At 36.0% G+C, this 27786-nt stretch overlaps 1 protein-coding gene and 1 long non-coding RNA gene across 9 annotated transcripts in view; one reads left to right on the top strand and one right to left on the bottom strand.

The window, feature by feature from the left end:
• The window catches only part of GLRA2 (glycine receptor alpha 2), a 283034-nt gene that overhangs the window by 174495 nt on the left and 80753 nt on the right, over positions 1–27786 (bottom strand). For 3 of the 7 annotated variants that reach the window (XM_047441999.1, NM_001118885.2, XM_017029427.2), the window contains exons 2-3: positions 27193–27370; positions 24946–25079 (exon numbers count right to left, since the gene is read on the bottom strand). In XM_047441999.1, coding sequence (XP_047297955.1) covers positions 24946–25079; positions 27193–27260 — 202 coding nt within the window. In that variant the 5' untranslated portion in view covers positions 27261–27370. Of the gene's footprint in view, positions 1–24945; positions 25080–26139; positions 26347–27192; positions 27783–27786 lie in introns of those variants that run through there. The other 4 variants (NM_002063.4, NM_001118886.2, NM_001171942.2 and 1 more) reach the window with 3 other exon arrangements.
• Positions 246–15823, top strand: LOC107985686 (uncharacterized). Of its 2 annotated transcripts, XR_001755803.3 has the most exons (3): positions 246–12093; positions 12812–12932; positions 14757–15823. It is a non-coding gene; the product is annotated as an uncharacterized LOC107985686 (long non-coding RNA). The 2 variants fall into 2 exon arrangements; XR_007068396.1 differs by having other exon boundaries at positions 246–12932.

Raw genomic sequence — 27786 nt, 5'->3', positions numbered from 1 at the left:
TGGTGAAACCCCATCTCTACTAAAAATACAAAAAATTAGCCGGGCGTGGTGGTGGGCGCCTGTAGTCCCAGCTACTCGGGAGGCTGAGGCAGGAGAATGGCGTGAACCCAGGAGGCGGAGCTTACAGTGAGCCGAGATCGCGCCACTGCACTCCAGCCTGGGCGACAGAGCGAGACTCCGTCTCAAAAAAAAAAAAAAAAAAAAAAAAAAAAAAAGAAATACTTTAGGTGAAGACATGGCAGTATAATAGAACTTATACTCGTTTGTTGAGTTTGTTAATCAGAAAACTGAATTTGCAGACATTTGCTGAATTCTGTGTATTTTCATGTTACAAATCCTCAGTCGCTTATTAAATCAACAAATATTTATTGAGTACCCATTATGTGTCTAGTATATACTTGGTCTTCTACTACTTATGACCTACAAGTAGATGGTAAATTGTGGTGCTAAATAAAAGAAAATCAGGCATTAAGGACAAGTCAGAAACAATTTGCTGAATAGCTCTTGAGTCACTCTGCAAGAAATGTCAGATGAAACAAAACGTGTCTGCCCAACCAAGCATCACAGAGAGGGCATTTTTACTAAGCCTTTTCTAATACAAGTGAACTGCTGCTTTTTTGTTCATTGCGGGATCATAGTGACCTTAAAGTGAACAGTTTATGTTTTGGGAGATTCAGAACACTTTGCTTGTGGTAACAAGCTTCATTTCCTATTTTAAAGATCTCAGAGGCTAAATGGAACCTTCAGGTTGAGAACAATTTGTAAGAATAATTTACATATATTTCTATTTATGCTATAATAAAATGTCATCAAAGAATTGCTGGAAAACATGGGATTCTTGCTATTTGGGATTGGGGTGAATAATAAATAAAGAGCCATTTAGCCTTAGAAGAAAATGATTTTGAATGCCATTTGGAATTAGTTTTGAAATATAAAGACCTGAGAATTTTTCATGAACCTAAATGACATATCCTTTCCTTTTAGGAAGTAACAAAAATAGAATTAAAGATGACTTTCTCTCATGTTAATTGAATCCTCTACTATGAATAACAAGTTCACCAACTTGTTAGGCCCTGACAAATTGGAAATAGAATTTTTTGCATTAATAATTTTTAAGAAGAAACTATACTATGTTTGGAGTTATGATAATGGAATTGGCTGATAGGATACACACACATATACACATTTGTTTCCAAGTTAAAAACTTATCCTCCAAAGCCAAATGATACCTAATTGATGAAATTTTGCATGATTCTCCCTATATGAATATCATCTTTCCTAGCATTCCTATAACCCTATAACCCTTATCTTATTGTATTATGGTCGACTTTTATATGTGTCTAATCTTTTCTAGTTTGCTCTGGACAGGGCATGGATTTTACCCGATTCACTGTAGTGTTCCCTTGGCACTTAATATAGTACTGAGCACATAGTAGGCATTCAGTAAATGTTCAATAAATGCTATTAATAAGAATATAAGCCATTTTTATGTAAGGAACTTTTAGTGGCATCCCAGGAAATCTGATTCAGAACAACTTTTAAGGCATTTTAACCCAGTTAATCGGCCTTCATTTCTTCAGCTTCAAAAAGTAATTCATTCAAAAAGTAATTCATTTAAATCAAATGTTTAAGCTAAACCTATGAGATCAGAAGCCAATTCTGTTTATCTCTCCAGAGCACTCAACAGAATGAGAAAATTATGACAAAAATATGACAATCACCAATGAGAAACACTGCTACATGCTTCTTCGATACCACTGCTGAACTGCCCTGTTTGAGGTGGGGATCAGGAAAGTCTTAACCGTTGCCCTCCATCCTAACATCATCCTTTACCAGTACAGTATGGCATAATGGAAGAAAATCATAAACTTCAGGGCTAAAAAGACTGGGTTTAAATCCTGGCTCTACTATATACTATTTGTATGACCCTATGTAGGCTACTTAATTACTCTGGGCTCCCATTTCCTCATCTTATAAAAGGAGAAATATCTTCACCTAACTCTCAAGTTCATTGGGAGAACTGAATGAGATAATGTAAATGTGAAATATCAGCTACTTCTTTTCTGTTACCATCTCTTTCCTTCCCCTATCAAGGAAGGATCTTCCTCCTAAACCTTGAGATCTTTTTCTTAACAATCAGATGTACTTTTCTCAAGCATAGTATCTCTGCCCTGCATTTGATTACTCTCATCCCTATACACAGTGTTAAGAAAATGAGCTGGATTTTAAAAGTATAAGTAAGCTCTAGTAAAAAGTCTAATTCCCCCTTATTGGAGAAATATTGCATTATTAAATCAAACGATCGTGAGTGTAGGGAAAAATTATGCTTCAGTAAAAAACTATACATTGTCCATACAGCATACCTTTCAGTGTTATCAGACTCTGATTCTATGGGAGCTATTTTAAAACTCTGCAAATTATATAACTAATAGTAATACAAAATATCCCTTGCTTATAGGTATGGAAATTCTGTCCTGTAGAGGTTCAAGTGACTTCCTTCCCCCACTGTGGAAGAGGCTAATTTTGCCTCCATTTGCACATTTATTTCAATATTTTTATCTATAGATGTGTCTGTTCTTTGAGGTTTTTTTTGAACTGATTATACCATCTGCCTGGTTCCCTCATTGACTAATGAGTTAAATAAAATCTTTAACATGTATTAATTATATAACTGTGTAAGAGTCATGATTTTACCTTATTTTGGAAAATTATTTTTTCATGTGAGGTTTTTAAAAAAGAAAGAGATTATTGCTCTTTGGACATCTTGGGCTCAGAGCCAAGCTTTAGCAGCTTGGAGACCTAAATCCTGTTCAAGGCCACTGCACTGCCAGGCAACCCAGCACTTTCTATTTAGCTGTCAAAAGAGATCTTAAAGCACCATGTCTGCCAACGAATAGTACCTAAGCTCTCATTTCCCTCCTCTGTTCCTCTGTGGCTTCCACAAATGGGGACTTGTTTCTTCCTTAGGCATTCTGCACCATTTCTCTGAGGGTGGGAAGGTCACTACAGTACTGTTAGGAAACAGGTTTTCTATGTCAGCAAGAGGTCTAAAAATAGAAGCCAGAGCTTCCGATAATGTACTCTTCTCTACTAACAACTAGGACAGCCGCCTTCCCACTGCAAAGGGAAATCCTGAAATCATGGTGCTTGTTGTGTTTACAAGTGCTCAAATTTGACTGATAGGCTCCCAGCACTTACGTAGCATAGCACTTCCACGTTTTATCTCATGCTACACTATGCATCTTTGTAATTCAATTTTATTAAAAGGACATTTATTGAAGTCCTTCTGTATATTGGGTGCTTACGTAGTTTGTGTTCTCCTCGAGTCAAGGATTTAGGTGAAAGTCATTTGTTAGGGATGTAAGTAATATGCTGGATGAGACGTCGGGAAGTAAGACAGGTTAGGCAAACAATAAAAGGTGTGTTAATAAGTCCATTATTTTCTGATGGCAAATGAAGCCTTGTCCCATGAGCAACTCTGGAAGCCAGTATAGAAGGACTCCTCAGAGCTATTCTGCCCAAGGGGAGAAGGAGCTGGTGTATGTTAAATTGATTTCCACCAGTCATTGGATGAGAGTACTCTCAGGAGACACTAATTCACCTTTAATTCTGGTCTGCCACAAGGGTGGGCAAAATGGCTTGGATCAGAGAATGCCCTCAACGAAGAAATGCAGCTGCTACCATGTAGAAGTCAGGTTGATGTGGTAAGGGACCGGGGATATGGGAAAGACACAGACACTGATGCCTTGTAAGCTCCTGGGAATACCAAAATGTACTGAATCTTTGCATTAAAAAAAAGCCATCATCTATCAAGGCAGAAAGACATGGATTAGACTAATTACAATGTCATGTGATAATAACAATAGTGTTTAAGGGAACATGGCAGAGGAGGCAACAAATTGTGCATGAGAAAAAGAGAAAGGGAAAGGAGAGCAGAGGTTCTTTGCAAGGGATTGATGTATCTCTTCATGTGCAGAGGAGGGGGAAGATATGGCTCTATTTCATAGTGAGTATATATCACTAGCCAAAGTATAATCAGCAATTGAAGGCTGAATCTGCATAATTGCTCTTTATTGCATATCCTTTCTCTGATTTGAAGGCCACCACATTTTGTATTGTTAGACAGTCTTGAGGTGATGGAGAAACTGTTCTATGTCCGGATTTTGATATTACATATTTCTACCTCCATCTCAATGTGAGACAATCTCTGATAATAAGCCGAATACGGTTGTCCCTCCAAGATTGAAGAAGCCACACGGCCTCCTCTCATTCATCATAGTTGAGTTCACACTTGAAATTGAGGAGGTCATTCTCCCACTAGACACCATCATTGCCTGTGTGCTCATGATAATAGACAGTGACATCACCTTGGGACCTTGAGAGGGTTATAATTTGAGGACATGAGAGTTGCTAATGAAACAGAATAGGGTTTTTACCCATGATCTTTTCATGCTAGAGACAAGGTTTGTTGAGGCTTTAAAGAGTCTCTAATTTTGTGTGTTGTACCAGACACAATAGAGCAGTACTATAGAAAAGCAAGCCCTCTGATGAGAAATGGCCTCATTCTCCTACCCTCAGGCAATGGAGGTAGAAGGTCTGCCAGGTCAAAGGGGAAGAATCCTACTAAGAGTCTTTTGGGGTATTGGCTTGGGTTGATGCATACCTCTCAAAACATTCATCTCCAGTCATATGACCTGTATATTTGCAAACGCAGACACGATTAGCCTGCCTAGGCCACCATAAGGTGTAGTACAGTTGCTGAGTATGTGGGCCTCAGCACCAGACTGCCTAGATTTGACCAGCTTCTCTGTCTCTCACAGCTTGCCAGCTCTAAGGATTCTGAACATTAGCTTCTGGATTTGGAAAAAGGATATCGTTAACAGTAGTACTTATCAATTTTGTAGAGAACAAATGAGAGCATGCATATGACACACTTAACATGTTGTTGGGCACATCATGAGGAACACATTGCCTTTGCATACCCCACCCATACTCCAAGTCTTCACGTCATTTTCCACCTCTTCCTTACACTTCGGCCATTATCAATTCCCCTTATTCAGAACTTCTAATCTCCATGACATAATTCCATATATAGCTGTACAATTATATAGAGAGGAGTTGGCTTCTGTTGCTCAGACTTGTTTTATGTCTGTTATTTCATTTGCTGAGGAAGATGATGCATTGCTAAAGGACAAAAGTTGCCTGTCACTGCTTCTGTAAGTTCTCAAAGTTGCTATACGTTAGGCACATCATAAATGTCCCTCATAAATACTTTGTAATTAATTTGTACCTTACTACAAAGTTAACTTGAATTTGTACATAAGCAGCAAGTACTTCCTCTGCTTAAGAAAAGAACAAGTAAATTATTTCAGAGAGCATTCTCCTTAGTTCTGAAGGAACATCATCCCAGCAAGCAGCCCCCAGACTTTTCCCTTTCCTATTCCCTGAGCAAGCTTGGGCTCTTCATGTGTGTTGGAAAGTAATAAGAGAATAAATTATAGACTTCATGTCTCAGACTTACAGTTTTCTCTCACTATGCCCAAATGATTTGAGATTGTTAAATGAAAACATTCCTAGGGTCCGGAGAAAAACTCTATTTAGAAGCAAACTATAGGACTAGATAAAATCTCATATGAAAGGGCATGTTTTTGGTATATCATAGCATTTTCTTGAAATATGTTTAAGTACATCACAAATTTGCACTCAAAGATGTAAAAAAAAGTTTACAAAATGCCGTTAGTCAGAGACAAAGTCATGTAATGTGTAGCCCATGGAGGAAGTAGTCCCTGTATCTCTTCTGTTTTCCTTAGCCACCAACTGTTCTTTACCATACCTCCACCCCACGATCTACAATCTAGTTCCAATACATCCCAAGCAGAAAGCTGTTGGGTGATTGGAGAGAAATCATCTTTGCTCATTCATTTGATTATTCATCAAATATTTATGGAGGATTATTAATGTGCTCAAATCTGAGGATGTAAAGTTAAATAATAAACACATCCTTAGGCATGCCTCCAGATTCACAAGCCCCTAGCATGGCTGTAATTAAGAAATGATTATAGGCTTGGTGTATAACAACACAAATCTTTAAGGTTTTTACTATCCCACTAATAGCACTGAGGGCAGACTCATGCTAGACTGCCTGGAATCAAAAGCCATTTCTGCACTCTTACTAGCTGTATGACCATAAGCAACCAAATACAATTTCTGTTCTATTTTGTAATCTGTGAAATAGGGATGATAATAACCTTCTCTGTAAGGTTATTGGAAGGATTAAATGAGTTAATATGCAAAGTGCTTAAATGCTTGACACATAGTAAGGACTCATTAATATAAACCAACAATGTTATTATTAACAATTTCTGAGTTCCTACAATGAAAATGGTGTGAAATATACGCATGGGTGCAGTGAGGAATAAAGCACTGGCTAAGAAGTGAGCTGATGGATAACTTGGACACTAAGTCCCTTTACTTCTGTTCATCTTTTGTCTGAGAATTGTGCATAATACCTTCTGGCTTGATCTTCTGGGACATATGTTTGAAATACATAAAATATCTTCCTACTCAATAAGCCAACTGAGAAGTATAAATTTTTTTTAGAAAAGTCTGTTTTCATGATGTGTTTAAAATTTTTAAATGCTTTTTGAATCTTTGTGGTCTGTCCTGGCGGCAAAGATGGCAGGTATCAAAGCATCAAGGGCCTGATGCTCTTTTTTAGCTTCATGGTGACTGTGCCCAGGACCAGCCCATGCTTGTGGCAGCAGCCCTTCTGTGGCAGATGACAGAATACTACTTCACCAAGAAAATACAGATCATTGGATGTGAACTTATCTGACTACCTTCCCCTCCACCTGTAAAACTTATTATCAGAGTAAGGAAATGGTATTCCTCCTTCAGTGCAAAGGTAATCTCTTCATCTTCCTTATGAGATTGATTCCTCCTGCTCCTTCCAGAACTCTCCTCCATCAATTATCCTCTATCTCACTCGTACTTTCAGTCTCCCTTTCCTTTATTCTACAAATGTACCCTTCTCATCTTAATTTTAAAAAAAAAAAAACCTCCTTTCCCTCAAATTCTGTAATCTAGTATTCAATCCCTCTCTTTCTCTTTGGCACCAATCTTTTAAACGATAAATCTACAGACTTACTTTTCCCCACTTTCTCAAATCTCATTTACTCTACCAACTCAGTATGGGCTTTTGTATCACCACTCTAGGGAAATTGGCCTTGCTAAGGTCAAAAATGTCCCAGTGGTCAAATCCAATGACCTCTCTTGTTCTTTCTACTCAACATTCCTGCTGCACTTGTCGTGGTTGCTTTCCTCATCTGCAAAACTCCCTCTTCCCTTAATATCAATGACTGCATCTCTTTCTGGTTCTCCTCCAGATTTTCTAACCACTCTTTCTCTGTATCCCTTGTTGAGTCCTTCTCTTCCTCTTATTCTTTCAATGTTCATGCTCATGGAAATCCTATTCTTATTCATCTTCTATATTTATTCTACACATTCTCACTGGGTGATCTTAGCAATACTGTCATTATATGATGACTACTATTCCTACATTTATAGCTCTGGTATCTGTTCTTGGCTCCAGATTAAAATTTTCAACTGTAGATTAGATATCCTCGTGTGTCCCTGACATGAATAAACAAAATCACTGTCTGCTCAGTTGCTCAAAATGGAACCTTGAGTCAAACATTACTCTTTCTATTGTACCCGCTACATCTTGTCTGATGCAATTTTACCTTAAGTTTATCTTGTGAATCTTGCCCGTTTTCTAACCCATTGCCACTCCCTAAGCCCAAACCTTCATCATCTCTCTTTTGTGGATGATTGTCCTGGAACCCTGGTCCCTTACCTTTTTCGTATATCCTTTGAAAGGTATCTTGAGTTATCTTCTTAGAAATCTTATGTAATTATGCTCCTCTTCTGCTTAAAAACCTTGATTGCCTTCCTGTTACCTGTGGTTAAATCTATGCTTCAATAATCTTCTTTACATTCTGGCCTTAACTAACTTTATTCTGTAGGCTTATCTTCTATGATTTATCCCTTTCACTTCCTCTAGAGATACTCATCTTTTATTATCCCCCAAACTAGCAATGTTCTTTCCAGACATGGACAGTTCTCTATCTGAAATTCCCCTTTTCATTCATTGAACACCTATTTGCTCTCAATACCAAATTCAAGTACCTCCTCTTTTATAAAGCCTAGAGCTACTTCTTTTTCCTCCTCAGTGAACTGAGTTCTCCTGTACCACGGGCCCTCTAGAGAAAAATAAAGGTCATCACTATTAGTGGATACCTTAGTTAGCCCCCCTAGTCTTTTGTAAAGATTTTTGGTTCACTGCCTCATAATCTGGGAGAATCCTGTACTTGAGAACTACTCAATTTTTTTGTAAAGCTGGAAGATGAAGCTCAAGAGGAGAATTTCAGAAGATGCCCAACCACAGACTCACTGGTTGGAAGGAAGTATGGGCCATAACCATGAAGTGAACCTGAAATTACTTTAGCAGTCAGAACTCCCTGGCAATTCAGGTATATCCAATATTATCAACATGTATGATTTATGCGCCTTTGGTTTTATTTACTGAACACTGCAGACACTGAGTAGGAGAGTGCCTTAGGCCAGGGATTCTATTTGGATAAGTTAGATGTCACTATCCATCCATGTTCGGTATTAGGCATGGAAAAGAAAACTTTTTATAAATGGGATATTGGTACTGAAATAGTGGTAAAGTAGAAGAAGGTGGGATAGTAAAGTTGCAGGTTAGAATGCTGATAAGTTAACAATTCTCCTTTGAATCACCCTCTACTTTGTACTTAGCGCAGTGTCCTATGCATAATAAATGCGTGATACATGTCTACATGTAAATAAATCCACTTACTCAACATTAAATATTTATTAAGCTCCTAGATAAACAGAAAGTGCACAAAAACCTGGGGCTTCAAAGATAAATTCAATTCAACCTGTAATAGAAAGGGCAGCAGCTGTGTTACAAATATATTCAATAAAGTATTGCAGATGGGGAATGAGTGTCCCTGTTGTCATTTTCTAATGACTTATACTCCCCTCCATCCTAGGTTATATATAAGGAAAGGTAGTGTTTGTCCAAGTCCTATTTGGCAGCAGGATAACTTTTTCTTCCCCTAAATAACAAGAATGATAAAATTCTGGCTGTTTTCTATTCAAGAAAATGCAGTGAGGAGTCAAATGAGATGATACATATGGAGGGACTTCATGAATTTTAAGTGAATCACAATAATTAGCAGATAATAATAACTTAGTTCAGTTCTTAATATTCAAGTTTGCATTGGTACAGATTCTGAGATTAAGGATTAGTGTTATCAATTTTTAAATTTACTTGATAAATGTCTATTGACAACCTACCTACTGTCACGTGTTGGAGATACAATGTAGAATGAGATAAGCTCAATCCTAACCTTCTTGAACTAGTCTAGGATGGAAAGAAATAGAGAAGCAACTAATCACAAGATAGACTCTAGACTGAGCACGTAGGAAAGGTTGGGATTTGTAGTTTAAGAGAGGCTTTCTAGAGGAAATGACATTAACCTGAAGTCAGAGTAGAGAGTAAGCTGTTGGAAAGGCAGGGATGGTAGAGAGAAATGCAAGTGCCAAGCACCAGAAATAAAAGGTTTGAGGAATGGCAAATGGGGCATCGAGGCTGGAACATAGAGTGGGAAGGTGTGGCTTGAGATGTGGAATGAAGATGTTGAAATTGACAATATAGATGCTTGGCTTTCCCACTTCTTTGTCTCATTTCCTCACTCTCTTATATGTCTCCCCTGATTGCTTATTCTTAATAAATCTCTTTTGCACAGGGTCTGCTTCTTGGAAACTCAACCTCAGACAGATGTAGTAAAGAACCTAAACACAGAGATCTTTGTGAGACATGTACAAGTGCAAGCACTTTATCCAAAAATGATGAGAAGGCCTAGGAGAGTTTCAAGGGTCATGAGAGACCTAGAATATCAAGGATACTAGTATTTTGAGCTCTGCACTCCCTTGGGTGACAGCTCAGCTTCCTTTTTCTGTGCATTCAGATAAAGATATAGGCAATCAGGCACCCCAGAGCAGCTGCACTATGGATTTTCTAAAAAAAGTACAGGAGTTTATTTTTGATCTTAGCTTTCCTTTAGGATCTATTTATTATGTCATCTTTATTTCTTTGCCTTCTTTGCACCTGCCACATCACCCATCTAAAGTCAATAATATTTTTTAAAGGTGTCATTCTGTGATGTATATAGCATATTACATGATGTCACTGATGGATACTTTTTGTTAATACCCTCAAGTGCTTTGCTCTATCACTGAAGCAGATAATTTATTCTGGCATTTATATGAAAAGTTAGACACTGAGAGGGTACCTGCTTATTTGAGACTTTATGTATGCATGGTTTATTATGGCACATATTGTTAGCACATGGCTCCAAATTTTTATGTAATAATTATATTCTTTTCAATATGTGGGGGAATGAGAGAGGCCCCATGATGAAGGAATAACTCAATCATGAAAGCTTCACATGTCAATCCACTCTTACTGAGCATCACAAAGATTCCTTCAGCCAAACTACAGTGCTGTTAACTATACATTGGCACCTCTTAAATGAACTCATTCTGGGAGATGGAGGTGCTATAGAATACTTTTTACCCAGGAGCCATTTGCAAACCCAGTTTCAACTGTAGGCAGAAAAAAAAAAAAATCCCACGTGTGTAATTATCCTATTTGCAGAGCTGGTTGACAAGTAGAATCGTGGAGTTTTCTCCTTGAGATAAGTGTATTCTTTTGCCAAGGAAATCTTTTTTTTAATAGGGTTTAGGATATTTGCCCCAAGTCACAAATTCATACACTCTGCGGAAAGCCCTGCATGTTATAAACTTTGTTGGCATTCAGGAGATCTATGGAACAGGAAGCCGCCTGCTGGGTTTTAAGTGGGAATATTTGCTCAGAATATTTGATTAAAGGATGCACTTAAATGAGGCATATGTGCATGATAAACAAACGTGAGTCAGAAACTTGGGGGAAATAAAAGGAACACATATTCCAGACTGTGGATAATTCCTTTTATGTTGGGAGAGCTAGAGAAATACATCTGATAATATAGGATTAGTTTGATAAAGATCAGGTTAAGCATGCCACTGGTTACAGAGTGGGCACGGATTCTAGGAAATGAAATGGTAATATTTCAGATAAAATAAATACTGAATAGTATGGCAACCTTATTAACAAACTGTGACCTTAGATTTTGGAGAGAACAGGTAGCCTGGCATTCATCTATTTAAAAAGGCCTCTGAAAAAAGTGAAATTTTCAGTGCCAGGGCTTCCTATTCACAAGGCATGACCCTGGGCATATGTAACATTTCCTTTCAAACAGGGATGATGTCTTAAATTTTTATATTTTGGGAACACACTGTATATACTTCCTTTGGAAAGCAAATCTCAGGATTCCAAAGAAAATCTTATCCTCTTGTTCATATTCCTTGACATCTATAACTAATAATTCAGCAAAGCCACCTTCTCATACCCCAATATCTAATGACACCGTCTGTCCCTTGGAAATGGAGAAGCTGTGACCCTGGAAGCAAATGATAGCAAAGGATCTAAGTCAGGCACTCAGATTATATAAAACAAAATTTGAACTCAAAGTAAGCAAATGTGTGCATGCCCAAATAACTTCTTTATAGTTAACCTTTATTCAGTTCTTCTTCAAGATGCAGTGTATCTAAGACTGCCAACCTCAATCAAAAGACAAACTTAATCAGTGCTGTGGTTTTAATGTGTCCCCCAAAGCTCATGTGTTGAAAATTTAATCCCCAATTCAATAATGTTGAGAGGTGATGCCTCTAAGAGATGATTAGGTCATGAGGGCTGTGCCCTCATGAATGGATTAATGTCATTGTCATAGGAGTGGGTTAGTTCTCACTGGAATGGCTTCCTGATAAAAGGATGAATTCAGTCCCCTTCCCCTTCTTCCTTATGCCCTCTTGCCCTTCTGCTTTCTACCGTGGGATGATGCAGCAAGAAGACCCTCGCCAGATGCAGACTCCTCAGCCTTGGACTCCCAAGCCTCCAGAACTGTAAGAAATAAATCTCGAATCTTCAAAATTACCCAGTCTATGGTATTCTGTCATAGCAACACAAAATGCACTAAGACAATTGGTATCCCATTATCTGTGGGCTGTACAGTGGAATACTAGCAATGCTAATGTCATCACTGTGGATACTTTGTCTCAAATAAAGGATTAGTTTGATATAGAATGTGTAGGGGCTCCATCACCAATGTGTTTTCACCTAGTGTGTAAAATAAATGACATGAATCAGGAGCCATTGATTAAGTCTGAGGTGGCATCACTATTTCCCTACCCCTACTCCGTTATTTATCTCTTCCTAAGAGCTTGGATTGAGAAGAAGGAAGAAAAAAAATCATGCTTGCTTACTTGACAAACACTCTCAGAGAAAGCATGGAGGAGGAACTAGTAATTTAAAAGTATATATTATATTTAAGAATATCTATATATAATCATCCTTTCCCCAAGACATTTAGTGATATTTCAAAGACATTTCATTTTCTGCATCCATCTTCATTGCAAACAATTTTCAATAGTTTTTCCTTGGAATTTATATATTGAAGTATATGAAACATTATCATTTTTAAACAGAGAAACTTAGAGTGATTTAATACTAATAAATAGGAAGTTAATCTTAAATCTGCACAAGTTAAGATAAATATTGCATAATTTCAATTTTAAATGAGATTTTTGGTATAGATTTAAATTTTTAAAATTTCATTGCAAGGAAGTGATGGAAAAACTATTCTCAGCAAATGAGTGGAAATTGCACAACTACAAGATTTACCCATTTTTTGAAAGCTGCCTGAGAAAGAAGATAGCAATCCAAAAGAAAATTCTTCATACAGGTATGAAACTTTGTCATATACTGCTGAAGAAATATCTCTAATTCAAGGTTAAAGGTCACTTGTTTAAATGTATATATTTGTCAGCTTTTGTAAATCATAAAGACTAAAACAGTAGGTGATTATTAGATCCAAGTATTTTGATGTATTGACTAATTTCTTTTCTCTATGCTTTTCAAAATGCCACTGTTTGTTTATTTATTCATGTAGATGAAGCAGGAGAAAAATAGACTGCAATAATATTCTAACTTGTAGAGTAATTCTCTTGTGGCATCATAATGCTAATGTTGACCATGAATCAAAATGAAAGCCTCATTTACTGAATGCTGGGCCCTTCTCACTCTTATGAATATTCTCTTTCTGGCAAATTATTATATTTTATGTATGTTTAAGTTCCCCATCATCTATTTTCATGGCAAAATTTGTTTAGGTTTCTGGATTTTACCAAAACTACATTTTCCAAAATATTCCATAAAACACTGGTTCTCCAGGATGTTACTCATGATAAGGAATCTGTGATCAAGTGAATATCAAGCAAACCCCTGTGTAAAAAAAAGTTTTTAAAATATTTATTTGTGTATTTATTTTTACTACATATTTTCTCACAACTTTTTAATATGCTAATGGATATTAAGTCTCTCTCAGAGGATGTTTTGCAGAATTTCCTATACTTATTTTACATTTAAAAACTTAGAGAACATTTCATGGACTACAGTTTTGGGAAACATCTTTGGCCAGATGCTGAATTAAAGAAACTTGGTAGCTACATTTCCCAGAAGCAGCCTTTGTACATGAATTTGCTACCTCCAAACCAAGAGCAAGGCAAAAATTGTAATAGCTTATTTCTTCAGTAATCTCCTCATAAGTTTCCAGGGTCTTCCCTGCAATAACAATTCTGAATGAAATACTGGGACTTGAAATAAGGTAGAGACAACTGTTAAAAATGCTGGACAGAATTAATAATTTCCAAGAAAGGAAACATTATCTAGGAAGATTGGGTGCATCCAAGTTCTCTGGGTGAGTCAACAATTTACAAAAGGATATACCCAAAGATATTAATTTAGACTATTAGAACCAGGGACCATCAAAGTTAGAAGTGAAGTAGAGAGACATCTTGTTCTAAGTCCTTTTTTTTTTTTTTTTTTTTTTTTTGCAGATGACAAGAGTGACTCCCAAAGAGGTTAAGTGGCATGCTCCAGGTCATAATTGTCAAAACTGGAGTTAAAATCAGGCCTCATGAGTCTCGATTTAGATATTTTTTTCTCTTGTGGGATTTTCCCCCTTCATTTCGTAAAACAATATAGGCACATAGGATCTTGGGAAAAATACTATAAAGAAGGTATCATCCTTCTGATATAAGGGCAAAAATGTCTTATTCTAGTCCTGTAGGTCTTAACCTGTAGGGAGTAATGACTTTGTTAAAGTTGTAAACTTAAAATCCTAAGCCCCTACTGACTGAATGGGCCCTCTTGTAGCCAAGGGGACTCCAGAAAAATCTTAAAATTGAGTTCCCAGCCACAATGGGACAGGAGGTTAGACACAACTCATTATACCTCCTCTCTTTTGGCGTTTAGACACAACAACTGACCAGCACTAATGTTAAAGTAGAGATCATAAGACTGACAGAACAGACTCTTTGTGGCAATGAGATATGAAATTATATACAGGACCTGAAACCATGCTAGGCAAGGGGTAAATCATGCACCCCTACACTTAAAGAATAAACTATGTTCTAACTGCCACAGGGTTTTTTTTTTTTCTTCTCTAGCAGTTAAATAAGGACTGGTCTCAAGATAAGCAATATTAAAACAATTACAACTCATCCAGTTCACAGATGCTAACTGATCCCCTGTTCCATCAACCATAACTACAGCTTTGACCGGACAAGAGACTGATGTCAGTAACTTTCTCCTAATAAGAAGACCACCAACCATGGACTGATGATTCTGGCTGGTTTAAAGAGATCACTCTTGCATGCCTCTGTGTCCTAAAAAGGCCTTTTGACATACAGGCCCTAATTGTAAGACATTTAAATGTTAAGTCTCCACCTCAAAGTGAACATGGGTTGTATGTTACATGCATGTTTGCTTTATACACATGCATCAGAACCACCTTTGTGAATATTCGTAGCCTTCTATAACCTGTTGAATATGTATGTTTAGCCAACCTGTTCAACATAAAGCTCCTATACCAACCGTTCCTCCTTTGAAGTGCCTGTCTCTGGTCTTGTCCAAAGACATGCTTCCCAGGCTGCAGGATGGTCACTTTGCAGACTATAACCCTTTACAAGAAATAAAGTCTCCTTTCCTTTTCCAAATTTATAGATTTAAGTTGACAAAATGAATACTCCAAGATCCCATCATCCATATATTCTGTAGATGGAGAGGTGTGGGGCCCAGGATTTGCCTTTTTAACCAGACTCTCAGGTGGCTTTGAATCAGGTCTTCTGAAAAACATGGCTTGAGAAACACATCTGGTTGGTTGTTAATTTGTTTTAGTATTAAATCCTAAATCCTTTGATTTGGCATACTATATACAAACTTATGTAATAAACCAGAGTTAATTCAAAGGAAAAAGTAGAATATGAGAAATCCATTGTCAGCACCGTACATTATATTTATAAATTTTCCTGAATCACATAATCTAACTTAAGTTTGGTTTGCCAAATGTGTGCCTCATTCACTTTTCAGAGACTCTGAGATTCAAATATAAATAAACGGATCCCTTGTTTTCTGAATACATTTATTTGGGTGGTGGGAAATGGGCAAAATGCTTTTTCTAATAGAAAGCCTGATAAAAGAAATCTTGACTGTCTTGTTGGTCATGAAGTGGTTATTAGAAATCAACATCTTGAAGTATTTAAATGCAAATAAATTAGAAGAAGATACATTGTATTACCTTCTGTGTATGTTTGGTTTAAAAATGAAGTAAAAATTGTGTGGTAAAGTAGTCCTGGGCTTTTCCTAACGTAGGAGAATTGCCAAGATGAGTAGCTGTATTTCAAGTGTGATAATCAAACCAGCCAAGGAGTGGGAAATGAGCAACTGTTCCCAGAACTCTCCATTTCCTGGAAATGCACACTACTCTGCCCCTGGTCTTCATGCCTTTTTAACCCCTTACCCAATCTTTTCTTCTAACACCCTTTCTCAAGGTCTATGCAGAGCAGAAGAGCATGAAGGGAAAGAATTTATCTCAAAAATGCTTCCCCAGAGAGACTTGGCATTAAATCTTCTGCTCAAATCCAAACCCACAACACATCCCAGCATGGGGAGCCTGGAGGGAATTACTGTAGGGACAAGCACATTAATATTAGCAAATATGTTAAATCAGACAGAAAGGAAACTGTATTAATTATTTTCGTAAGCTCCACAGGAAGATCTCTCTTTTTTTTTCTCCCTCCGCGTCTCTCTCTATCCCTTGCTCTCTTTTTCCTTTCTCTCTTTCTCTCCCCTCTGTCTCTTCCTGTCTCTCTCCCTTTATTTCTAGTGCCCCCTCCCTTTCCTCCCCACCTTGCACCCTCCCCAGTTCCGTCCTTCTTTCTCTTTCTCTCGCACACACGTATACTCCAATCCATTTATTGCACCTCTTCCTGTTTTCTATTTAGGAGACAGAACAATCACATTACACTATATTTCTCTCTCTTCTCTGCTTTTGGGGATAGCACTTATCTATTGGGATAATATATCCAAATGGTCTCCAGACTGATCAAAGAAGGCTTACTAAATTTGTCATCAGTGTTGGAGATGTCTGCTCAACCACCTGAATGGTAAGGGGTGAGTTTGCTCTTAAGTTGACATTTGTGCTGGTTGTCTTCCATTTCCCCACCCCAACCCCTCTCTTCTCTTCTATTCTCTGTACCCTAGGAAACTGTCCTTCAGGGTTTGTATCAATGGGCTCCCTTGCTCTCTGACTGTTAGTTGAATCTGGCTAATGAAAGGCTTCCACAGGAGAATGGAAAACAGGAGGAGGGCAAGGTCTGGATATTTATTCCCAGGCTTACTTCCTGCTAGGATAGCACAAATTGACTACATTCCTCCACAGGTTTCATTAGGTGACCCTTCTGTATAGCTGCCTTCACCAGGTTCTGGTAATCACTCCCTCCCTTGCTTCTTCAGTTCTGTTGATAGTCCCAGAATACTACACTCTCCCTTTAAGGGTTGTTTTTTTCTCTCACACCATTGAAATGTGTGGTCTCTTTCCTGCAAATATCCTGGATAATAAGCATTCAACCTACAAATTATATTCCAGTTTTTATTTAAGTGAGATAGTAATAGTAAGAACTGACATTTAAAAGCTTAAATTTCTATTTACCACTCTATACTTAGCACCTAACAATGGTACCTGGCACATGGTGACTAGTCACTAATTATTTATTAAAATAATTAACAAATTAACTGTGTTTTTAGACTCAACTATAAAGATGTAAAACCATTACATGTAATTCTTTGTGCCTACATTTATGCTCCCTTGCCACAAATTTATTCTATTGCTTTGACAGTGCATAGGCAAGTGTGGCTTTTCTTCCCCACAAGAAAATATGTTCCACCATCATCAGAAAAAAAGAAAAAATAGAAAACAAGACTTATCCAGTCATATATATACTTCACAGATAGGTGAAGATGCCTTTTCTCAAATGATAATTGCCTATGGACTTTTCATACTTTTACTGAATCCAGAATTTATTTTGCCCTTTGGATGAGTATACAGAGCCACTATTTGGTGTATCATATTAATAATGGAATGGTGGATACACAAACCATAGCATGAGTCAAAGAAAGGGTCCAGCTTCTCTCTTGTATTTACCTCATAACCACTTTGGTTGGCTGGCCAAACTAGACTCCAAGTGAGTAACCTGGTGACTTTGTTCTTACATGTACTGCACACATTAGAATATCCATTTGAGGCCTATGCCTTTTGCTCATATGCTCCCTTTAGTGGCTTCTGCATGGCTGAAAGTGTCTGTAGTCAGTCATAAGTGTGCAGAGTAGCTCTCTCAGGAAAGAAATCAATGAGCAAACGCTTCATACAACAGTCAGGACAGCATCCTAGGCGTTAATTCCAAAGGGAGCCCAGAATGCTTCCAAAGACCTTGTTATTGAGGCTTCGTCAAACATAGTTACATTTTTAAGACCCTGTTCCACAGTGTCTGAGCAACACACCAAGAAAAATATCCAACACCATCAAGAACAAACTAATGACTTATTTTTTTTCTCACTCTAAACCTAACTGCCCCAACTGAACACATTATACTGTCCATTCATTGAGCACCAAGAGACCTGAATATTGATGCCATTTAAGTCTCAGATTATCAGCAAAATTGACTGAATTATCCTTCAGGATGTGGAGGACCAGCAAGGTCTATAAACTAAGGATAAAATATTTAAGTTCATTCAATAATGAAAATTAAGGATATGGGGTCGCCCAGAATCAACCAAGGAGCAATGCAGTACTTTCTCAAAGACTAAATTATGGGCTTCCATTTCTGGTACGCTTAACCTGCCATGTTGTGAGACCAAATGCTCTCTTTTAAATACTAATTCTAAAATAGGAAATCATCTCAGTACTATTGTGCAGTGAACCTTGCAACTATAGTAACTGGACAAGAAAATACATCAGAAATGGCAGTCATATTATCTTCAGTTAAATTTAAGGTCCTCCTTTATAGGACTAAGTTAAATTTGTTCTATTTCTCTTATTTGGTTTATTTTTTAAAATGAGTCCAAGAAAATAATCAGAGATGGGATTTGAATGGGTAAAGATAATTCCTTCCCACAAATGGCTCCCTCATTGTTTTATATTTAGGAATATGAAATAGCCGTTTCAGGTTGGAAATTTCCCCACTGAACTAATATAAGGAAAACCAACTGAGGCTTATGACCTCTACATTATGGTTACTCTGGTAGGAATCTAAGATGCCCGAATTTCTCTAACTTGTTTCTTTCCATTTAGAAAATCAAGCAGCTGTTTTCACAATACACAGTAAGTGTTGGCTATGAAAGAAAAATGGTGGAATTGCAATAATAACTCAAATTATCTGTATAATAGTAACAGTTGAAAACAAATAATTCATGCTCATGATATCATTTGATCCTCAGTACAACCCAAGTGAGGTAGGTAAAGGCAGAAGAAAACCTGAGGCACAGATAGGTGAAGACATCTTTTCTCAAAAATGGCTGAACCAGAACTTGAACCTAGGTCTTCTAGATCCAAGTTCAGGGCTCTTTCCACTATACTACCCTGTCACCATGGAATGAAAGACATGCTGACAAACTTATTGCAATATGCTTTACCAGGGTGCATTAGAATGCTGTAGATGCCCTCTTGATGCCACTTCAAATCCCTGAAAAACCTTGTGGGTCCATAGTAGGAGCCTAGTATATACAAATGTGTTGTTTGGTGTTCATACAGCACACAAAAGCTGTATGAACACCAACCAACACATTTGTATAATAAATTGTGACACAGCCAGTGATTTTTGATGTTCAAAAATCTTCATCAATATTGTCTCTGAATGAAACTATCATATATGTTTCCCTTTGTTACTCCCAGCCTTTCCTTTCAATAAGGAAACAATATTTTATTTCCTTATTGATAATGTTTTATAATGCCTTGTTTTATAATGCCTTGCACCATCAATATTCTTCCCCAGTGCCAGACTACAACCAAATACTCTCATTCAAATTATGGAGTAAAATACTAATTGGGCTTACTGTCATTTCCATCAAGTAGTTTTAATATGAAATAAAATCTTTAATCCAAGAACAGAAGCAACAGTGCTGTAATTTTAGCCATTATAATAGCAAGCTAGGTTAGAATAGTTATTGGACAAGGGATTTCTTTCAAGGGCTTGGGTACTATTGAAATCAGGCCACGTGCATGTTACTGCACTTAAAGTAAGAGTGACACTGACTCTAATCTGCCACCATGGACCATACTACCCAAGAGAGGCGCTTCCTTGAGCTTTACCTCTCTAGAAGTGCTTAACAATTAATTACCCTTTTGAATTGGAAATACATATAATGATGAGCATTCAAGAAGCATGCAGAGAAAAGTAACTTTTCTTCCTACCCATCTCCCTGGCATCCAGTCACCTTTCTCAGAAGCACCTGATATTTCCACTCTTTTGTGTATCTTTTAGGGACATTCTATTGCATATACAAACACAACATTTGTGCATATATATAGACATACTAATATATACATAGTCCCCCATGCTATATGTACTTTGCAAGGTAATTTTATAATAATTTGTCCTAAAATAAATCTATTCTTCCTTTCCTTCTTTCTATTCTCCCTTAGTTGTCCTTTAATTTCTTCAATGAATGGTTCCCACTGATAACTATAGCCTATGTATTTAGCCAAGAGTAATTGCCCTAATGGGAGTGTCAACTGTCTTGGAATTGGGCTTAGTTCTAGGCCATTTTAAAATGACTGCTTTCATAATTAAAAGATAATGTCTCAAAAAATCATATGCTGTATTCTTATCATTTTAAAAGTTTTATAATTGACAACTCTGACTCATACTTGACATTCGTAGACACCTGAAAACTCTTTTTTTCTGTATACTTTTTAATAATGACTCTCATATTTTTCAATGTGGGCTTAGTGCCATTAGGGCTTTTTTTCATCTCAGCCATTAAAGAGTGATTTACCTCAGGCCTCTTGATTAATTAAGGGAGACCTAGAATTAAGGGAGAATAAGAATTCTTCTGTGAGGAAGGTAACTGTCAAGCAGATAATCCAGATAATTCCATAATCACTTCCAAGGTGATTTATAATTGAACCAATTACTGTCTGTATTTCCTAATAAAACCACAATGTCAGCATGGCCATGAAGTTACTTTTTCAGGTGCCTGTAGGCTTCTGCTACTTTCTGCACTCAGGCACAATGCTTCTGATACTTGCAAGCATTTTGGTCTTCTTTCTCAGGTTCCATAGTAATGTCTGATGCCAACCAGGCTGATCAAAGAAATGGCGATGCTGGGGTTGCATTGTCACTAACTTAAAGAAGCACCCTTTCCAAGTGTCCCTGGTGGACGCTTGTGCTCAAGCACCTTCTACAGGGGTTGGTATTCACAACATTTGAACTTTAGCTCCACTTGACTACAGACATGATCATTTTCCAGGGGCAAAATCTGAAAACCTCTGGTTTCATGGAAGTGGATCTATGATACTTGAAACACCTCTTGAACTGCTAGCTCTTTGGAAATTGCAGAAAAACATATTTCAGGCAAATGTAGGTTTTAATGTCACACATTACACTTTCTAACTTAGGTCTCTAGATGTGGGAAAAAAATAGTGTGCATGGCAGGCACAAAGAAGTGGAATGAATAATTATCTCCTGGCATTATCTACTCTAGATTCTATCCCAAAAAGAATGTTTTAGTGAAATGTATTTATTCACATTGGGATGAAAACTAGGATGTAACGCTAAGTTAATTTTATTTTCAAAGAAAATTTCATTAAAATAGATAAAGGCTTTGTTTCAAAAAGAAAGAAATGGAACTAATGCATTTTGCCCAGATTTGAACATTTCATTAAAAGCCTAATGTTTAAAGTGCATTTTCAAGATACAATAATACTGACAGAAGAATATCTGATAGGATGATGGAATAACACCATGATAAATCAACTGAAAATGAGACAAATCACCTAAGTGGGGAAAGAGGTTCATCTCTTGATATAGAATCAACATTTACCATGGTTTCAGAACCAGGTAATTGTGAATGGATATAGCTTGTGTTTTTATCTGAATTGAGGATTTTCATTAAATGTATGTTTTGACAAGATCTGAAACACGTCTCTATGGATCTTATAGATAAAATTCAATTGACAACTCTGACTCATGACTTTGTTTATACACTTGTGCTTCAACACATCAGAAAAGCTATTTTTTCCCTGTAGTTTCTAAGAATGTCTCTCAATTACAGAGTCTAAGTCTGAATCATTTCTGGTGGTTATCTTTTCTAGCTTACATCCATTTTTCCTTCTTATATATATGCCCATTATGACATCTTTCAAAGCCCATCAGGAATATGGAATAGACATGCAATATTTTACTGACTTGAAAGTATACAGGAAAAATTCTTTCCAATAAGAAAAATTATACTTATGCACTTCTTTTTCCCTTGCCAATGCAGGGCAGCAAGGAAAACAGAGAAATATGCTAATATTTAATAAGAATTCTAGAATAACCATTCTGTTTACCTCAGTGGCCCATATTTGGCTCTTGATTTTATTCTGGTGGTCAAATTTTGCCCTTCTATCTTCTTAACAGTCACCGTTATTTTAATTGTCAACATCATCATCACTATCATGTTTATAGTTATCACAGAAAATTGCTTTTTCACATTTACAGGGAGACCGTTACTATTCTGTATGCATTCACATTTCCTAATCTCCCTTCATTTCTACTGACTATATTAAATTCCTCATTGGTACATTGCTAATCAACTATGGTAAGTATTATAGTGTTTATCTAAGCCTCCTCCTTGTTACAAGTTCCCTATTTTCTCTGTCTTTTCTTTCCTTCTCTTCACCTCAGCTAAGATCATCTTTGCTTGCCACTATGACTACTGGCTGGTCTCTCAAAAGTTACCACCCTCACATTCTACTACAACAACCAGTTGGAAGCACTAATCTTCATTAATTGATCTACCTTTTCCTCTCTGTCTTGGTTCTAATTTCCTTATCCTGGAGAAAAGGATCACTTATTTTCCCTACACTACCAATATTTTATGTATGTATGTATATATAAAATAAGGTACTTCCCTGCCCTCTCAGATGTGGTGTGAGAATGGATCAATAAAATATACATATGTAGAAGGATCATATTAGACATATAAAATTCCATGGGAACATCAAGAAAAAATTATTGTAGTCTAAAATAATGGGGAGTGTTTTAAATCCAGGAATAATCAAGCTCCCCCAAATGAAGAGAACTTTGGGAGATGTCAGATAATTGATCTGATATAAATGGTCTATGTAAATAAATTTTATGAAAAGGTAGCAGTGTTCATTGAATTGGAGAGTTAAAGGGAGAGGGAGATAAAACTCAATGAATCCCACTAATGTTAGAGTCTTCTGTGATATCCACCCCATTTCTTTTTTATAAGTCATTAAAATATCCTGTACTTAGACTTTAAAGTAGTAGATAGATCAAAAAAAAAAAAAAACATGGCCACACTTTGCTGAACCTGACATTCTCCTCATTTATTTATCCTTTGGAACCATGATAAATATCATTTCCCAAAGGTGATATCCCCGGAAGAACCAGGAAAAAATTGGATGTGGAAATGATGGCTCATTCTTGTGTGGTCACTTAAAGTAGCAATGTCAACATGGGTGTGTTTTATTACTCTTTGTACTTTCCTGCCCTTTTGAAAAAGTATTTCTAGAAAGAAATGAATAACAGCTATGAAAGAAGATGCTTGTAAACTTGAAACAATTTTCCATCTCTGGACCTTCTCTATAAAGCTTTCCATTAATATCTTAATAGGAAATTATCTTTCCATTTCTTGGAATCCTGTAGTGATTTACCTGTATTTCCTAATGGTACTTTCCTATTTCCATCTAATAGTAAAAGTATTCATGTAACATCTCCTCCCTCCACTAAAATTTTTGATAGAAGCACCTAAACTGTTTCATCTCCCAATTTTACAAAGCACCCAACAGTTAGTATTTTGCAGATAGTCCAGACTCAAAAGTTGTTCAATGACTTAGTGGATAAATATATGAATGAGCAATCCCATTGAAAGCTGGTTCTCAGTTTGTTACTCACAAGATTTTATTTCAAATATTGACTTCCAAAGCAATGACCACAAAATTAAGAAATGGGATGAACATGACCATCTTTTTTTTTTTTTCAGAAAAATTTATCTCTGAATGTAGTTCAGTTATCTCTCTTGGAGATACTTAAAAAATACTATTTCACCAAAATTCTGACATATTTCTTTATAAAATATGCCCATACCTGGGTATATTCAGAGGTGTAACATTTAAAGAAGAAATGAATTTAAAATTTAGTTTTCATGCTTATATTTGCCAATAATAAAAATCAACACTGAAGAAAAGTGTGCCATTAAATTGCTAATAAACAAAAGTAAGCAATGCATGAATTGCTACATAATATCCAGAACATTATAGGTTTCTCCTTTTATAAAATGTTATAAACACTTCACAATGCATTATGTTAAATTTCATTACAAGAAAAAGACAACATCACTTAAACTATGTATTTAAAAATTAAAGCATCAACATGATTCAGTTATTAGTAATTGATTCTTATTCTTTTTTTCTGATTCAGAATAAAAATAAACTAAATATATTTAAAAAGCATTTCTGCAGACTATTAAGTATATTTTTGTAATGTTCAACAAATAAAAACAAAAAATATTGGTTTGCTTCTAATTGAACAAAGAAAGTATCCACCATCTTTGACATGTGCACTTTAAAATTCTGTGATCTTTGTTGATTTCAAATAAACAATTTCAAATAAACAATGAGAATGCTTAAACAAAAAGGAACAAAAAATTAGAACCTCTTCTTACGAAGTCTAAAAATTAAAGAGGCCTGAAAGTATGTAAAGTGGCATATTTTATAGAGATTTAAACTCTACTTTGATGTAGGTATTTAAAATCAAAACCAAATATTTTGGAGTAACCACTGAATCTTGCATGCATCCTGGTAGATATTCAAGCAAGTCAAGTCTATCACTTGCTCTTGTATTCACTTTCAGCCACACTCCCACTTACGAAAAAATAAGGACTGTGGCCATAATTTATGACACTAGTTTTATTTGTGAAATAGAACACAAACAAGGAAAGTTTTCAAATGTGGGAAGTGACAGGTAAAATGAAAATATCAGTAACTAACGCAAAAGAATACCAAAATAAAATGAACACTATACTTGTCATTTTCATTTTATAATTAAAAGCCCTGAAAATGTTTTTCAGTTAACTATTCAAACATCTAGAAGATTTCTCAAAGGCTTAACGTAAGTTTAAGTGGAACCTACCTTTAAAATTTGGCCTGATTCTTGCATCATATCCTGATGTCCTTCCCATTAACTTGTCCAAGAAATCTGAAGGAGATAGGGTCTGTGAAGGTTGTTTTCCAGACCTGGAGTCATGGTCTTTGCAGAAAGCCGTCCTAAACACATCATTAACTCTTTTAGCAACAATTTCATTTGCATCCCTTGAGAGCTAACGCTCACTGCATTTTTAACTTTACATTTTGGTAAAGATATTTGATATGTTAGTATGAAGAAAACTAGAAAAATCCAAACTCTTTGGCCAACTTCTGAACTTGTACATGTTCTAAAGTTAACTTTAAATGATGAGAACTATAAATCCTGAGTCGCGTCACCCAGGTTTCCAAACTTTAACCATAAGATGTTTGAGAACAGACAATGTATTTAGTTTTAGGTTGTAGATTTTATGTATATATAGTTAAAACTATTCAGAGAAATGAGATGATATTTTTTTAAATTCATGTGATTGTCTTAAAATCATTTCTATCTGACTTAAAAAAATTGTTTCAGCATTTCGGCCCTAAATATAAGTCATCTACCTTTTATAAGAAATATATAATAAGATGGGCAGAACAAACTTATTATTTCATTGCTTATTTTTCCCATCTGCTAGTTCTAATCCAACTATCAACTATTAATATTTTTCAATGTGATATCTAAAAGAGAACCTTCATTTGGACATTTCATTTCTTTTTAAAATAGGTCAACAATGAGCATGTATATGACTTCTATTATTTTATCAGTTATTTATATGCTTATATATTAAATGCTTATATAAGCATTTAAATTGTTGACTCTCTAAAAAATATTGATGAAAACACACTTCTAAATCATTTTGACTTTTTATCACCAAAACACTGAAAGTTGGTGAAAAATTTCTCAGATTTTCATTTTCCTGTTAAAAGTAATAAAGAGCTTATTAAACATAGCATATTTGGTTTGTAGCAAAATTAATTATTTCACAATACATAGTGGTTAACTGAAATTTCTTCCCTAAAGTATGTATTTTATAAGCTTTGTTTTCAATAGTTTAACAAATAGTGTCTTATGAATTCTATCACTAAGAAAATACCACATTCTTGCCAGCTTTTCAAAGAAGGGGTATTCAAAATAAGTGCAAAGATGATATAAATATTTTGTAGGAGTTAAAAATTGATATGAGCATGCATAAATACTCACATTCTCATATGCAGATTCATCTGATTAATCAAGTATTATTTGATTATGATGGTGGTGGTGGTGAGGATGATGATGATGATGATGATTCTAATAAAAACCAGCCTATATTTTTTCTTAATCATAGTAGGAGGTGTAAACCTGAAAGGAACATAGTGGGTTTTCCCAGTATTCATAGCATTATTACTATGTGTTCCATTTATCTTGGTTCTGTGAAAAAATGCCATAAAATTTAATGAAAATTAAATTTAGAGTCCTATACTTTGTTGTAAGAGCATCTCCTGTCTCTGCTCAGTCTTCCACTCTCTGTTATTAGATGACTATTTCACTTACTGGTAATGATTTGATATTTTGAGGTATCAATTGATTTGGCAACTATTCGTAAACCATGTAGAAAATGCAAGCATGAAAATAGTAATTTCTCACTTTTTAAAATTATGCATGCTCCACTTCTCATATGTACATAAATACAATTATGTCATATTAACTAAATTTTGGTAGGCAATCCATTTCCAAACAGATTGAATAGTAGAATATAGTAGTAAAAAGAAATTTTTGATATTTCAAGAAAATTCCTGAATTGTAGTCCTCATAGTATGCTTCTAGTTTCTGAAATATAACAGAAGTCCCAAGTTGGCTGAGAATTAGGGATCTTTTATATTTTATCTAAAATGAGCATGCTCCTGCCAAATTAATACAATCATCTTATATGAAAAACACTGCACCCAATAATCTCTTTAAATTACTTTCAGAAAAATAATTACCCTTATATAGAAATGTAAAGAGCATGCAACTCATCAGACTACCTTAATATCACGTTGGCTGTGAAAATGTGTGTTGAATTGCATAGAGTGCGGCTATGCATCATAAAACTTGCTTTTGTGAAAAATTTACCACCCTCCCACAATTATTAGGCGTTTTAAATGAACAAAAGATATCTAACTTTCCTCTATAAAATTAAAATAATATAGTCCAGAGCACAGATAAATACACAATTACATGACACATTCTCTTTTAAACAATTTAAATATCAACATGCAAAGTCGTTTCACCTACCTGAAGTGGTTTGTCTCTAAGAAAAATGCAAACAAGGCTGTCAAAATGTTCACTAGCTGCCGGTTCATTCCTGTTTCTGTGTTGCTTGTGGAAAATATCCCGAAATGATTCCAGAAAGATGCTAGGACAAAGTGTCTGTTTATTGTCCAGATTCAAAATTTGGCAGGAACCTAGTTTCCTTGAAAATCAAAAAGAGATTTGGTTTTGTACAGTTTGCTGAGAAAAAAGAAAAAGTGCCAGTCCTGGGCATCATGGTCAGGTCAAACCGAGGCTTGGGACCATCAGTTAACCCAGAAAGACAAAGCCTCAGAACTGATGAATCCCCCAGCTGCTTTTCCTGAATAATAAAAATGCTGCTACCTTAATCGCATCACCATGCAAAGGGAGTTGGTGACAATGCCATGCTAGATAGCTGTGGCTTTTGTTTTATATCTTTTCTGTTTAGCAAAGCCCTTTTTCTAGAAAATGTTTTCTTTTAAAAAGAAGTTGTAAATGAGAGAGAAGAAAGGACTCTGCGCGCTGGAGTGGGTGGGGGGAAGAGGGAAAAATTGCTGAGATCCTGTGCTGGAATGAGGGCTATAGAATGAGACGGAG

This window comes from Homo sapiens, chromosome X (assembly GCF_000001405.40).
Source record: "Homo sapiens chromosome X, GRCh38.p14 Primary Assembly".
Classification (NCBI taxonomy): domain Eukaryota; kingdom Metazoa; phylum Chordata; class Mammalia; order Primates; family Hominidae; genus Homo; species Homo sapiens.
The sequence above is the reverse complement of the archived record's forward strand: the minus strand, read 5'-3'. Positions and strand labels throughout refer to the sequence as shown.